General features: G+C 35.9%; 1 protein-coding gene across 10 annotated transcripts in view; it reads left to right on the top strand.

Moving 5' to 3' along the window:
• DRC11 (dynein regulatory complex subunit 11) overlaps positions 1 to 17079 on the top strand; it is a 200792-nt gene that overhangs the window by 25252 nt on the left and 158461 nt on the right. For all 10 annotated transcript variants that reach the window (XR_007081589.1, NR_073043.2, NM_001270584.2 and 7 more), the window contains exon 6: positions 16515 to 16720. Coding sequence is in view for 8 of the 10 variants with exons in the window: in NM_001270584.2 (NP_001257513.1) it covers positions 16515 to 16720 (206 nt within the window). In the remaining 2 variants the exon portion in view is untranslated. The remainder of the gene's footprint in view (positions 1 to 16514; positions 16721 to 17079) is intronic.

The raw sequence follows: 17079 nt of genomic DNA, 5'->3' as shown, positions 1-17079 counted from the left end.
CATTAAAAAGTATGTTTCTGACTAATTTTGACTACATGAAAATGCTCAAGGTAAAAATTCAGGATTTAGAATTATACATATAATATGTAGAATTATACATAGAATTATACATATAATATGTAGAATTATACATAGAATTATACATATAATATGTAGAATTATACATATAATATGTAGAATTATACCTAGAATTATACATATAATATGTAGAATTATACCTAGAATTATACATATAATATGTAGAATTATACATAGAATTATACATATAATATGTAGAATTATACATAGAATTATACATATAATATGTAGAATTATACATAGAATTCTACATATAATATGTAGAATTATACATAGAATTATACATATAGTTATACATATAATATGTATAATTCTAAAGTATATAGATTTCAACTAAAGTGTAAATACTTCAACTAAGTATATACACACATCCATGCACATACAAAAGAAAGAAAGAAAATACACAAAGTCTGAATAAAGCTGATGTTTTAATGTGTGAGCTTTGGGAGATTTCTTTTTTGTCTGTAATCATCTTCATTTTCTAAAATAGTCAAATTTTACTTTGTTAATTAGAAAAAAAACACACATTTAAAAGTAAAAGCAGCTCACCAAAATGTCAGAATAGAAGCAACCTGGCTTCACTCCCCCCAACAGAAAATCAAAAACGAATATCCAGCACCAAGATTATCACCAGCAATGTCCCATAACTCAGATTTAAGGATGACTTGACCTCCAGGGCCACAGAGAGGTAAAAAAATTCTGAGCCAATAGTAAGAAAATCAGACTTCTATATTCACAGTGCTCCTCCCCGCAATCTGCCAGGCACCTCATGTGTGGAAAAAATCTCCCCCAGACTCATGGTTTCTACCCTGGAAAAAGTGAGATCAATGTAAATAACCAGCTTCCCCATCTTGGGTTCCCTTGCAGGAGAACTATCCCTGCCTCAACCTACAGGAAGCATCATGAGTATCTGTAAGGATAAAAACCTTTTAGGGCAGCCAGAGACAAAGGGAAAGGCAGGACTAGCATCCCCAGCCCACAAAACTCTTCTCTGTATCTTGGCCAAAAGAGATGCAAAGTCAGAATGGCTGTTCAGCAGCACCACACTGTAGAAGGCAGGCTCCACAGGTCCCCTGGGCAAAAACCACTAGCCAGCCTTCCTGCATAGCAGGGATATCCCCTTTGGGACCTTCCCCATTGGGCCAGGCATCACTCCAAACATTTGCTAGAGCTAATGCAAACCTGGGCTTAAGGTTCCATAAAGTACTGAAAAGGAGGCAGTTACCTAGCAATAAAGGAAATTCAACAGGTAAATTGTAAAGAACCCCTAAGCAAACATATCAAAAGGAAACCAAAACAATCCAAACAGAAAAGACTGGAATAAATAACTAATTCTTCAATGACAATACATAGACATACACCAACAAGAAATAACAGCAAACAGGAAATGTGACCTCAATGAGACAAAGCAAGAAGCCAGTGACTGACACTAATGAGATGGCAACATGTGTGCCATCAGATCAATAATTCCAAATAGCAATTTTAAGGAAACTCAGCAAACTCCAAAATAACACAGGAAAGCAACTTTGAAATTTGTCAGAGAAATTTTTAACAAAGATATTGAAATAACTTCTAAAAATCAAATCCTGGAACTGGTAAATACATTTGCTGGATAGAAAAATACATTAGAGGTTCTTAACAGCAAAATGGATCAAACAGAGGAAAGAATCAGCTTGAAGGCAAGCTATTTGAAAATACACAGTCAGAGGGAAAAAAAAGAATGAAAAGGAATGAAGAATACCTACAATATATAGAAAATTACCTCAGAAGAGCAAGTCTAAGAATCATTGGTATTCAAGAGGGAGTTGAGAAAGGGTAGAAGCCTTATTCAAATAAATAATAACAGAAAACATTTCAAACCTAGAGAAAGATAAAAATATCCAAGTATAGGAAGGTTAGAGATCACCAAACAGATTCAACCCAAATAAGACTATCCCAAGGTATATAATAAACTCTCAAAAGTCAAGGACAGCAATGGGATTCTAAAAGCAACAAGAGAAAAGAAGCAAATAACATATAATGGAGCTCCAGTTTGGTAACAGACTTATCAAAGGAAACCATACAGGCCAGGAGGTAGTAGAAAAACATATTTATTAAGTTCTGAAAGGAAAAAAAAAAAAAAAACCTGTCAACCAAGAATACTGCACGCAACAAAGCTGAACTTCAAACATGAAGAAGAGATAAAGTGTTTCCCAGACAAACAAAATTTGAGGGAATTCATCACTGCCAGACCCATCTAACAAGAAATGCTAAAGGGAGTTCTTCAGTCTGAAAGAAAAAGACACTAACATGCAGAAAGAAAACATTTAAAGATCTAAAAGCCACTGATAAAAGTAAGCATACAGACAAAGCCAAATTACTCTAATACTGTAATTGTGGTGTGTAATCCACTCATATCTCTAGTAAGACTAAAAGACTATCAAAATTAACAGTAACTACAGCAGATTGTTAAGAGACAAGTAATATAAAAAGATGTAAATTGAGACAACAAAAAGTCAAAATGTGGGGGAGATAAAGTGTAGTTGTTTTAGTTTTTCCTTTGTTTCTATGCCTTTCTTTGTGATCAAAGGTAAGTCCTCATCTTTTTAAAATAACTTATATGACTTGTTGTAAGCCTCATGATAACCATAAAGCAACAACCTATGATAGATATACTAAAAATAAAAAAGCAATTAATTAAAATATATTGCCAGAGAAAATCACCTAAACACAAAGGAAGAGTATAAGAAAGGAAGAAATTACAAACAACCAGAAAAAAAAATGTAAATGGCAGTAGTACATTCTTACCTATCAAAAATAACATTTTATGTAAATGGACTTAATTCTCCAATTAAGTGATAGAGAGTGGCTGAATGGATTTTAAAAATTAAAAGATCCAACCATATGCTGCCTACAGGAAGCCAGTTTCACCTATAAAGACACACATGGACTTAAAGAAAGGAATGGAATAAGATATTCCATGCAAATGGAAAAAAAGGACAGGAATATGTATACTTCTATTAGATAAAATAGACTACAAACTGGCCAGGTGCAGTGGCTCACGCCTGTAATCCCAGCACTTTGGGAGGCCAAGGTGCGTGGATCATTTGAGGTCAGGAGTTCAAGACCAGCTTGGCCAACATGTTGAAACCCCGCCTCTACTAAAAATACAAAAATTAGCCAGATGCGGTGGCAGATGCCTGTAGTCCCAGCTACTTGAGAGGCTGAGGCAGGACACTCGCTTGAACCTGGGTGGTGGTGGCTGTAGTGAGCCGAGATCACACCACTGCACTCCAGCCTGGGTGACAGAGCAAGACTCCATCTCAAAAAAAAAAAAGACTACAAACCAAGGATTGTAAAAAAAAAAGAACCCAAAAAGGCTACTATATAATGATAAAGGGGTCAATTCAGCAAGATAATATAATAATTATAAATATATCTGAAACCAACATCAGAGCACCCAAATATAAAGCAGACATTAAATCAACCTAAAGGGAGAGATATACTGCAATACAATAATAGTAGGTAGCTTCAACACCCCATTCTCAGTAGTGGACAGATCATCCAGACAGAAAATCAACAAAGAAACATGAGAATTAAGCTACACACTAGACCAAATGGACCTAACTGACATTTACAGAATATTTTACCCAACTGCTGCAGAATACACATTTTGCTCATCAGCACATGGAATAGTCTCCAGAATATAGTACGTGTTAGGCCACAAAACAAATTTTAAAAATTTGAAATCATATCAAGTATTTTTTCTGATGACAATGGAATAAAACTAGAAATCAATAACAAGAGAAAACTTGGAAATTATACAAACATGGAAATTAAACAACATGCTCCTGAATGACCAATGGGTCAATGAAGAAATTAAGAGGAAAATTTTAAAAGTTCCTGAAACAAATGAAAATTGAAACCAACATATGAAAATCTATGGGCTATAACAAAAGCAGCACTAAGGGAAATGTTTATAGCAAATAAAGGCCTACATCAGAAAAACAGAAAGAGCTCAAACAACCTAATAGTGCATCTCAAGGTACTAGAAAAGCAAGGAGAAATCAAACCCAAAATTAGTGAAAGGAAAGAAATAAAGATCAGAGCAGAAATAAATGAAATTGAGACTAAAACACACACACACACACACACACACACAAATCAACAAAACGAAAAGTTGAGTTTTTGAAAAGATAACAAAATTAACAGACTTTTAGCTAGACTAACTAGGAGGAAAAAAGAGAGAAGACCAAAATAAAGGAAATCAGACATTTAAGAGGAGACTTAACAACGATACCACAGAAATATATAGGATCGTTAGAAACTATGACAAAAAAACTGTACACCAACAATTTGGAAAGCCTTTAAGAAACAGATAAATTTCTGGACATGTACAACCTACCAAAATTGAACCATGAAGAAACAGAAAACCTGAACAGACCAATGATGACTAATGAGATTGAATCAATAATAAAAAGCCTCCCATCAAAGAAAAGCCCAGGACCTGATGGATTCCCTACCAAATTCCATCAAACATTTAAAGAACTAATACCAATACTACTCAAACTATTAAAAAAAATTAAGGAGAAGAAAAGACCAGGTGACACTTGAACCACACAGGTTTGAACTGCATGGGCCCACTTATAAGCAGATTTTTCTTCTGCCTCTGCCACCCTTAAGACAGCAAGACCAACCTCTCCTCTTTCTCCTTCTCCTTAGCCTACTCAATTTGAAGACAGTGAGGATGAAAACTTTTATGATGATGCACTTCTACTTAGTGAGCAGTAAATAATCTTCTCTTTCTTATGATTTTAATAACATTTTCTTTTTTCTCGCTTACTTCATTGTAAGAATACAGTATGTAATACATGTAATATATAAAATATGTGTTAATGGACTGTTTATGTTATCAGTAAGGCATCTGATCAACCAGTTATTAGTAGTTAAGTTTTGGGGAGTCAAATGCTATTTGTAGATTTTTTTACTGTGTGTGTCACCAGCACTCCTAACCCCCATGTTGTTCAAGGGTCATTTGTACTTTCAAACTCATTCTATAAGGTCTGGTACCAAAGCCAGACATAGACACAACAAAAAAAGAAAACTACCGGCCAACATCCCCAGTGAACATAGATGGAGAAATCCTCAACAAAACACTAAAAAACCAAATTCAACAATGCTTTAAAAAGATCATTCACAACAAGGAGAACACATGGACACAGGGAGGGAAACAACACACACCGGGGCCTGTTGGAGGTGGAGGGCCGGTGGAGGGAGAGCATCAAGAAAAATAGCTAATGCATGTGGGGCTTCATACCTAGGTGATGGGTTGATAGGTGCAGCAAACCACCATGGCACACATTTACCTATGTAACAAACCTGCACATCCTGCACATATACCCTGGAAATTACAATTTAAAAAAAATACAATCAGGAAAAAAAAAGAAAGGTCATTCACCATGACCTAGTGGGATTCATCCCAGGGATGCAAGAATGGTTCAACATACACAAATCAATAAACATGAAACATGCAGGACAAGGATGCCCACTCTCACAACTTTTATTCAACATAATACTGGAAGTCCTAGCCAGAGTAATTTGGCAAAAGAGAGAAATCAAAGACATCAGAATTGGAAAGGAAGAAGTCAAATTAGCCTTTTTTGCAGATGATGTGATCTTATAGCTAGGAAAACCTAAAGATTCCATAAAAAAACTGTGAGAATTTATAAATGAATTCAGTAAAGTTACAGGTCACAAACCAGCATGCAAAAATCAGTAGCATTTCTATAGCAAACAGTGAAAAATCTAAAAAAAATTCAAAAAAGTAATCCCATTTACAGTAGCTACAAAAAATATGAAACACCTAGGAATAATTTAAACCAAAGATGTGAAAGATTTCTACAAGGAAAACTATAAAACACTGATGAAAAAATTGGAGAGGACACAAAAAATGGAATGATATTCCATGCTCATGGATTGGAAGAATTAATACTGTTAAAATATGAATACTACCCAAGAAATTTACAGATTTAGTGCAATCTCTATCAAAATGATATTCTTCACAAAAATAGAAAAAAAATTCTAAAATTCCTATAGAACCACAAGAGACACTGAATAGCCCAAACAATCCTGAGCAAAAAGAACAAAGCTGGAGGTATTACATACACCACCTGACTTCAAAATATACTACAAAACGGTAGTAACCAAAACAGCATGATACTGGCCTGAAAACAGACACACAGACCAGTGGAACAGAACTGAAAACCCTGAAATAAATCCATGCATTTACAGCCAATTTATTTTCGACAAAGACTCCAAGAACCTACATTGGAGAAAGGACAGTCTCTTCAATAAATGATGCTAGAAAAACTGGATAACCATATGCAGAAGATTAAAGCTAGACCCCTATATCTCACCATATACAAAATCAAATCAAAGTACATTATTATCAACAAGACAAAAAATAATGGATTCCGGCAAGAATGTGGAGAAAAAGGAACGCTTGTGCACTGTTGGTGGGAATGCAAATTAGCCACTATGGAAAACAGTATGGAAGTTCCTCAGAAGACTAAAAATAGAACTATTAGGCTGATAGAACCATTAACAGTAATGGCAAAAACCACAATTACTTTTGCACCAACCTAATACCGTATGATCCAGCAATCTCACTATTGAGTGCATATCAAAAAGAAAGGAGACCAATACATTGAAGAGATATCTGCACTTGCATGCCTGTTGCAGCACTATTCACAATAGCCAAGATATGGAATCACCCTAAGTGCCTATTAACAGATAAGTGAATAAAGAAAAGTGTGGTATGTATATACACAATGGAATATTATTCAGCCATAAAAAGTAATGAAATCCTGTCATTTGCAGACATGAATGGAACAGGAGGTCATTATGTTAAATGAAATAAGCCAGCACAGAAAAACAAAAATCACATATTCTCACTTGTACGTGGGAGCTAAAAAAGTGGATCTCCTGAAGATACAGAATAGATTGGTGGTTACCAGAGGACTGGAAGGGCAGGTGGGTGAGGGGAAATGAAGAGAGATTGATTAATGGGTAGAAAAATACAGTTCTATAGAAGGAATAAGATCTAGTGTTTAATAGTTCAATAAAGTGAGTATAGTTAACAATAATCAATTGTATATTTCTAAATAGCTAAAAGAGTAGGATTTGAATGTTCCCAGCATAAAGAAAAGATAAATATTTGAGATGATGGATAGTCCAATTACCCTAATTTGATCATTACACATTACATAAATATATCCAAATATCACGTATACCCTGAAAATATGTATATCTATTATGCATTCATTTTTAAAAATAAATAGTACTACATTTTACAAAACAAAAAAAGTAATATTAAATGGCAGTAGAGTTTCATAAATTTTTCCCCTAAGATCTCCAGATTGTTTGGTGTATATGGATAGGTAGGTACATGATGATATGTCAGTATTTCTCTGTTCAACACCCGTAAAATACACATGGATATAGAATGTAATGATAAAAACAATTGTTATGTCCAGTTTTCTACTTTAAAAATTAAATTAGAAGTCAAAAGATTTAATCTAGTACAGTCTAAGTTTAACATGAAATTTTACTTTAGAATCAGTTGGGATTCAACAACTTCTATTTAATTAGAGTTCCATTTTATTTAATTCAGTCTACATTTACTGAACACCTATGCTGTGCCACACACCAGAAACTTAGGCAATGGCTAAACACAGTTTGTTCATGCTAAAGTCTTACTAGCTTACACTGATACCATACAAAGATAGAATTACATGCTTTTAACTTTATTTTAGTGTTACTTTGTAGTTTACATGTACTCAGCTCAAATGAATGAAGTTTGTATTAATTTTTTCAGCAATACAGTTTGAATAGTATAAAGAGAATAACGTCTGTTTTGTATTCAATGTGACTTTCTTCAGTTTGCTTTTTTTTTGAGTGTGTCTTCACTTGGCATTACATATTCTATTGAAATTGTACACCATTGAGAGATATATGGATTCAGTTTTTAAAAGAATGTTGTCTTCTGTTCACTGGCTGGAAACCATTTTTAAAAATCCAAAATCTATCACCCTAAATCAAAGAAATGTTTGCAATTGAATATATTTTCCACTATATCACTGGTTAAGATATTACCTACTCATTTTAAAATTTATTTTTTATGATTTCATTTTGTTGCACTATACCAATGTAGAAATCATTGACTTATCTGATCAAAACCATATTTGTATCTTTAGGAGATGCTTGGCATATTTCTAGGAGTGACTATTTAGTAACTGAAACCAGAATTAGAGCAAGAGACATCATCATGCATTCAATTCCTGACCGAATGTTTCTCTTACCATTGTCATATAAATTTTTTTTTTTTTGGATATTGTCATTTTAAATATTTATATTCTAAAATCTACAAAGAAAAATAAATAGCACTCTAAAAATTTATGTGCAGTTATTTTAATTGGCAGAGCCAATGGAGTGGATCAAGTAGAAGGAAACTTAATGATTGTAATACATTTCATTTTGTGGATCCCTTTGAAATAATTTGTCCTACAGTCATGACCATCATATATTTTATGTTACCCTGAAGCTATCAGTGTTTGCATTATAATAAAGAACACTGGGGAAACACTTATTAAAGAGGAAGACCTGTCACTTTTAAACGCATCTACTGAATCCTAAAAGCATCGTAAAACCCTGTTCACTTTCCCATTCTAACGTGAGGCAAGCTGTATTCTAAATTATTTTTTGGCCAATACATTCAATTTCTTTCTTATTAACAACTAACCTCAAGTACGAGCTTGGGCGCCCAAATGAGCGTGGCCCTCTCCCGAGACTCTGTTTGGGAAAGCTCTGTGCATATTGTAATTGTGCTTTTGTTGCCCTCAGAACATGGGGTTCCTCTTTGGGAATTGCTGTCAAAGCCAAAGTGAGCAAAGAATCTAAATGAAATGCTCTTTGATGATCACACTTTCATTTCAAAATGAAATGAAACTATGTAGTCTAGCTTGGTCATGTGCATTATTCATCATATTTGCTGCAGATGATCTTTGATTATTTTTATTTAAAAAAATATTATTCTCAAAAAATACATTTGCTGTGATTTGTGGGATTTTGTTTGGCTTTGGTTTTGTTTTGTTACACTTTTTAAATGCAAAAGGGCTGTTCCCTACATGTCCTGGGAAGGAAGCAGCACCTTGGAAACGAGTGTGAGTTTCCAGGCACCAGCTTTGAAGGCCTGCTCCCCTGCATTGAGGGAGAACCAGGCATGGGATTGGGGGACAGTTGGGAGTGTGCGCTTCCCAGGCAGACAGAGCTAGGCTCAAAGCCCAGCTCTGCAGTTTGCCAATGGAAGGATTTTGAGTGACATACTTAACCAGTGAGCCTCAGTTTCTTCTTCTGTAGGGGCTGGAGAGTGCTACCTATTTCACAGAGATGCTGTTAGGAGGCCCTTATGACAGATTGAAGGAAAATGGTCTAGCCTGGAGCTTGGGATAGGATATGCCATTATGGAATGCTGGCTGATATTAATTATCTTGAAAAATTATAGTATGTTGTCACGATATCTGACTGATTTTATACAGTGGAAAACTATCAACAACTATAACTTTTCATGCAACAAAACACAAACTATTCAAAATAAATAGATTGTTGTGTAAAATACATGTGCAACTGAGTTTCAACTATAAAACGTCCTGGCCTTTGTCATCATATACTGCTGAAGTTATGAACTGAAAATGTAGTCTGTTAAAAATATGATCCTGTAAAGCAAAGGGTTTGGAGTAGCCCATAGGGTTTAAATCTCACCTGCGTCTACCATAGCTAGCTGCAGGGGGGAATTGTGGAGGCAAAAATGGTGCTACCTGTGCACACAGCTTGTGTTGTTGCACCAGCAAAAAGTTTGCAAACACAAGCAGTGCATCCTATACAACTGTGTCTTCAGGGCCATCAGACACCTGAGTGAGGAGATTAGAATTTCAAGAAGGACGCCTGGAAGCATCTGTGGTTTCAAAAGGCCACTCTAGGAGGCTTTGGGGAAAAAAAGGAAAAGTCACCATTTTCTTTTCTATTACGTGGGATTTTGCAATCTAGTTACTTGGGAACCTCTGGTTTTATTTTTAGTTTTTTCTTTGTATTGGGATGCAGTTTTATTCTTGTCTCAGGTCTCCAGATCATCAGAGACTAAATGATGAAAATAATTCTCTTCCTTACCCTCCTGTTTGTCCCCTGAGCCCAGGAATCTTTTGTCTACATTCTAGGGCAGGACATCTGTGTTTACTTATCTAATATGAGGGCTCATTGCAAAGTGCTCTAATGCATCAGATTAAAGCCGTTAAGGTCAAGAACCCTGGAGCCAACCTGCCTGGGTTCAGATTCCAATCCGACTGTTTTCTAGCTGTGTGAACTTGGGCTGGCACCTTGACCCCTTTGTGTCACAGTTTCTATACATGCAAAATGGAGGTAGTAATAACGCCTAGCTCATAGATTTGTGTTAAGCATTAAAGAAACTGCTGTCTGTAAGGGATTTAAACTAGTGTCTGGCAGTAGTAGCATGCAGTAAGCACTACGTAAGTGTTAGCTATTAATTTTTTAAATAGCTTATAATCATGCATTTAGATGCTCACATCATTCATAATTCAAAAGTCCTTCTTAAATTGCCATCTTTTACCTATTTAAGTTAGCAAATATCAAAAAAGTTAACGTTACAGTGTTGGCAAGGTATAGAAGCACAGATATTGTCATGCACTTCTTGTGAGGGGAGAGTAAATAGTCCAACCTCTTTGCAAGGTAGTTCAGCAGTATTACAATTACAAATGCACATTTTTTATAAAAGTATGGTCTATAGTACCCAAAAGTGTTTTTTTTTAAGTCAGAGGAAACCTATCAGCAGAGAGAGACAGCAAAGCACGGAGAGTAAGAACAGAGACTCCAGAAATAGATGCCTCAGGCCAAAGCCCCAGCCACTTCCTGGCTGTGTGACCCTGGACAAGTTCCTTGACTTCTGTGTACCTCGATTTTCTCATATATAAGATGAAGATAGTAATGCTACCTAGTAGCATAAGGCTGTGTTGAGAAGTAAGGGAGTTAATACTTTTCAACCACTTAAAATAGTGCCTAGCAAACCATAAATGCCATCAAAGTGTTTAATATATTTTTAAAGAAAGTAGTGCACAAAAGTAACAGATGAAAAGCCCACCACTATTTAATTATAAGCACAACTAGACCTCTTATAACCCAGTTCCTAATAAAGCAATTTTTTTATATACTAAAATTTTTTTTAGAAATTAGGCTTAACAGGCTAGAACATTTTTTATTCTTTAATAGTTTTGTGCCCACTAAAATTGTTGCATCTGAGATAAAGATTTACCATAACTTTACTCTGAGCAGAGGGCAAAAGCAAACCATCAGCTCTAGCTATCTGTACTATCTTTTTTCACTTCTCCTGCTGGGTTCATCTTTATGAGTAGGTATATTGTATAAACACAGATACATAAATATAGATATATTACTCTGAAATGAAATGATGAAACAAAATGGCTGATTTTAACAAACTAAAGAACACCTCCCTCTTCGCATGATCTTGAAATGAACCGACTGAGGAGCGGTGCATTCCGCAGCGTGAGGTCTTCCATGTGCAAAATTAGACCCAGGGCATGTGGCGAGCCCAATGATCTGACCGAACACGCGCCTCTAAGTGCTTCCTAATGAACACTGAGGTGTCCAGGGGGGCCGTGGTGCTCATCAATCTCTGCATTGACGATGGCGAGAAATTTCACAGGATGGTCATTTGCTGGGAATAGATGTCTACCCTGCTCCTTCTTCACCTTTGGTAACAACAAAGCGCCACGAAGAGCACACTCCGGCAAGACAGCGAGCTGCCCCAGAAAGTTAACAGCATTCAGTCACTTATTTGCAAGTATATTTGCAGCTGATAAATTGAGCAGACTTTCATTTGGACAAATGTCCATTTTCTCTTACTAATTTGAAGAAGGATTTTTAAAGACAAAGCCCATCAAACATTAGATAAGCATTTTAAGTTAATGGACCATGTAGTCCTATTTCCCCGCAAACTCAGGAGGCATCACATTATGTCCTATTTTTACAGCAACATCAATTATTAATATGTATATTTTTGCTGACGGAGGACCTTGCTATAAATGTAGGTTTCGTTATCCAGTTCTGGGTCATTAACTATGGAAAGCTTGTAAATATAATGGTTTATTCACATGGGAAGCCTTCATTAAGATGCATTATTCTACAGCTGATGTATTTCAATATATAGCATACTATCGTGTTCTCTATCTTCCTTTAATATTTGTAATTTATTTTTAAATGAGTTGCTGTTTATGCAGTGAGTTAACAAATTTGAATTCCACATGACCAAAGTTGCTAAAGAGGAAAAGATGTTTTAGCCCAAAGGAAAAGCTGCTCATTAACATAGGACCTAAATATGTTATAACCTTTAAATTCAAAAGCAACCGGAGAAAGGAGCCACAAATTACCCAAATGTATTTTTGTCAGAGAAAGTCTATATCAAGAAACATGCATGAATACACACATACTAACAGCACAGCATGGTGTAATAGGAGAAACACAGCACTAAAGGAGCCGGGAAGCCTCACTGCTGGATTCTTCATTAACATGGAATGACGGGAAAGTCACTGAGTTCTGAACCTCTGTTTCCTCATCTGTTAAGTGGGATAGTCATGTCTTCATTCTTACCTCAAATAACAGATGTGTGACCAACATGGTGAAACCCTGTCTCTACTAAAAATACAAAAATTAGCTGGGCATGGTGGTGCACTCCTATAGTCCCAGCTACTCAGGAGGCTGAGGCAGGAGAATCACTTGAACTCGGGAGATGGAGGTTGCAGTGAGCTGAGATCGCGCCACTGCACTCCAGCCTGGGCAACAGAGTGAGACTCCGTCTCAAAAACTAAATAAATAAATAAAAGTAAAATAAAAATAGATGTGGACATGAATAAAGAAACGCGGTACAGGAATATGTAAGATGGGAACCATGCCAAGGGGCTATCAGGAAAATCCAATGACAGCTGAGTGTTTTGTTGCACTCATGGATTGTGGAAGTGTTAGGAAGTTTCTTGGACACTTCGTATAGGGCTGTTGACAAGACACAAATCAAAGTCACCTGCTCATTCATTCATTTTTAGGGATGAAAGGAGAAAAGACTCAGGTAAAATATAGTTTGTCTGTAAACATCTATGAAGGAAATCTTCAAATAGCAACAGGAACAACGTAATTTGGAGAAAAGCAACATCAGATGATACATTATACAGTAGATAATTGTGACATTATTAATACAAGACTTCAAAACAATTTTACACTTTCATCAGAGGCAAAAAGAAATTTGAGTCATTTATTGCAGATATCCATTTTAACATCTCCGTGAAAACTAAATTAGCCATTGGAGAGATTAAAGTCTCTATATGAATTTATGCTTCTGTCTTACACACTTAAGATGTAAGCACGAGGAATGAAAAACATTACCTGGACGACATAAGAATTGGATATTTTTAATGATTATATAAAGGAAATTCCTACTGTTCAGTTTTGACACAAAATACATAATATAAAGAAAAGTCATGCTTTTGAGTACCTTTATTGGGGCAATTAATGATCATTTGTTTTTAACATTGTTCTTTAAAATGATTCTGTAATTCTCATTCCATATTCGCTTTTATATTACTTTAAAAAGTAATTTTTAGGGGTTTTTTTCTAGCATCATAAAAGTTGTATGTTCTCAGCCGGGCATGGTCGTTCACCCCTGTGATCCCATCACTTTAAGAGGCAGAGACAGGCGAGTTGCCTGAGTCTAGGAGTTCAAGACCAGCCTAGGCAACATGGCAAGACCCCATCTCTACAAAAAGTACAAAAAATTACCCAGGTGTGGTGGTGTGCACCTGTACTCCCGCTACTTGGGAGGCTGAGGTGGGAGGACCACTTGGGCCCGGGAGGCAGAGGTTCAGCTGAGATTGTGCCATTGTACTCCAGACTGGGTGACAGAGTGAGACCTTGTCTCCAAAAAAGAAAAGTTATATGTTCTCATTTTACTAAACTTAGAAAATTGGCTCAAATTCCTTAGGATTTTCTAATGCATATATTTACAAAGTATGATATATGTGGTTTCCTTTTCTCTTTTAACTGATTTTATGGGGTGAGTGGACACTGTATTTTAATGACATCTTCATTGTGAAATCCCTTCCACCTCCAGAGGTTCATAGGTATTTCTTAGAGAGTGTGTGTATATGTGTGTGTACATTTGTGTTACATTTAACTAATTCGTTTAAAATTTATTTTAGTTTATGACATGAATTGAATCTTTAAGATAATGTTTTTTTCCAAGTAATTGATCTAAGTTTATAGTTTTGCTAATGTCTTTTCTAAACAGGGTCTTGAATGTTGCCATATTCTTGTTTCACAGCTTTCAAAATGGACTTTAATGTTGTTCTCTTACCCTTGGACATTTCTTTACTCCAGAGCTCCCTAGTATTCCTGGATTTCACCCACTTAGCTATTGGTGCAGGCTGCCCTAATGACCAGAAGCACAACAGTGTTCGCCATAGTGACCACAAAAAATAAGGAAGGCACAAGTATAAAATAAGAAACTATTCTGGGAATATAAGAGTATGCCAAAAATTAAAACAATAACCACTGCAAAATTTAAATAATCCAAATGATACACGTAACTGAAAGTCAAATTGTTTCTGGAAGATAAAGCTAAAGAAATCTCCTATTTGCACCATACCATAGTGATTTTTTTTCTCCTATTTGCACTATCACCTAGTGCAAATAGACAAATGGAAAATATAAAAGCTCAGAGTCATGAAAGATCAATCTGGTGCTCTGGCATTTATCTAATGTTTATTGCAGACAAGGAAATGGAGAAAAAGAAATAATAGAAAGAAAACTTGAAGAGTTGAAGGCAATTCTTTATATTGTATAGACCTACCAAAGGAGAATACAATGAATGAAGAAATGCCTACACCTACATACATTTTGATGGACTTTCAAAACTCTTGAGAGTAAAGCATTATAAACACTTTCAGGGAGGAAACAGCTTATTTGCAAAGGAACAACAATTAAATTTGCAAAAAAGGAACTGGAAACTCTACATATTAGAAGTAGAATTCCTCAAGGGAACTACCAAAATGCCATTCAAGTGGGAGGGGCCAAATGAAGACATCTTTAGAAATGCTAGTCCTTATAATATTTATGGCTGTACATATTCATTCTGAAAGTTACACTCAAGGACATACTTCAGCAAAATGAAAACTGAATACAAAAAAGAAGAAAAGGGTTATATGGTTTGGATGTTTGTCCCCTCCAAATCTCATGCTGAAATGTGATTCCCAGTGTTGGAGGTGGAGCCTAGTGGGAGGTGATGGATCTTGGGGGCAGATCTCTCATGAATGGCTTAGCACCATCCCCTTGGTGATGAGTGAATTCTCTCAGTTCACACAAGATCTGGTTGTTTATACAAGTCTGGGACCTCCCCTTCTTTATCTCTTGCTCCCTTTCACCACGTGAGACACTGGCTCCCTGTCACCTTCCATCATGATTGTAAGCTTCCTGAGGCCTCGCCAGAAGCCAAGCAGATGCTGGCACCATGCTTCTCATACAGCCTGCAGAACTGTGAGCCAAAATAAACTTCTTTTCCTTATAAATTACCCACCCTCCAGTATTCTTTTACGGCAGTGCAAAAATGGACTAATGCAAAGGGTAAACAGAGAAACCAGAACATCTCATAATTAAATGTAAACATATCTTGCTTTTCAAAATTAATTGCAGTCTATGATATTATAAAACGAGAGGTTGTGGGAAGAAAAGTGAACACATGCGTAGGTCCTATACTTGTTCAAAGAAGCTCTAGATTATGATAAATTCTAGACAGATAGAAATGTAGATGTTAAGTAACATGTTAAAATTTTAAGATAACCAGTAGAAGATTAAAATAAGATGTATAATTTTTAAACCACTGCATGACAAGAATGAACAAAACTACATAAATCCAACAGAAGGTAGGAAAGGAAGAAAAAAAAAACAAGAAAGTGTGTTAGATAAAAAACTTGAGAAGATTATCTCCAAATGTTTCTTCTGTACAATGAATAAAATTTTTCTTTTCTATAATTCTCAGATTGAGTTTTTTTAATCCAGATCTATGTTGTTGACAGGAGAGAAACCTCAAACATACTGAAGCTGAAAACTTCAAAACAAAAGAACATAAAGCATTATGTCAGGGACTTTGGATTAAATACACTGAGTAAATGCACTCAGTTAGCTTTGCTTCCTCTGGATGCTTGTATTTCTTATTTGCCTTTGCTAGACACTATGGAAGATATTAACACATTTGTTCAGTTTCTGATATTTTTACCAACTCTGTAACTTTTATGACCTCAAACCTTGTTGCTTGTATATATTTTCAGAATCCACCTCCTCTCTTTAATGAAGTCAGTGCTACAGTAATCCAGGCTGAAAAGGTGGACCGCCTGCGGAATGAGGTGCAGATAAAGCATGAAGAGGACTACAGGGAAGCCCTGGTTACCATCAAGAATGACCTAAAGTTGATAGAAGGCGTGGATATCAAGGAGAACCTTCAAGACCAGATCCGGCATTGGTTCATCGAATGCAGGTGAACATGAGCTACATCGTGACATATCCAGTCTGTTCTTTAGTGGCTGAGGTTATTGTATGTTTTTAAGCACAGAAGCATATTGATATAGAGTCATGAGGTTTCTCGGCTTCGTTTTAGAAACGTGAAATGCCAAGGCTAAGAATTCAGAAATTAATTTTTTTAAATATGGAAAAACGGCCCACATAGTGCCTATGTGACCACATGGCTTGGAATATAATGGGTGCATGACATAGCCCAAGGATGGCAGGACTTCACAGGCCAGGTCTGTCCAAAAGTCAGGGGACCCAGAAATAACCTTCCCTTCTGGCATCTAGCCAGCCTCTCTACTTGTAAGAAGCTTGAGATTCTCAATCATG

The sequence above is a fragment of the Homo sapiens genome, chromosome 2 (genome assembly GCF_000001405.40).
Source record: "Homo sapiens chromosome 2, GRCh38.p14 Primary Assembly".
Taxonomy (NCBI): Eukaryota; Metazoa; Chordata; class Mammalia; order Primates; family Hominidae; genus Homo; species Homo sapiens.
Note: the sequence above shows the minus strand (reverse complement) of the source record. Positions and strands in the feature narration are given on the sequence as shown.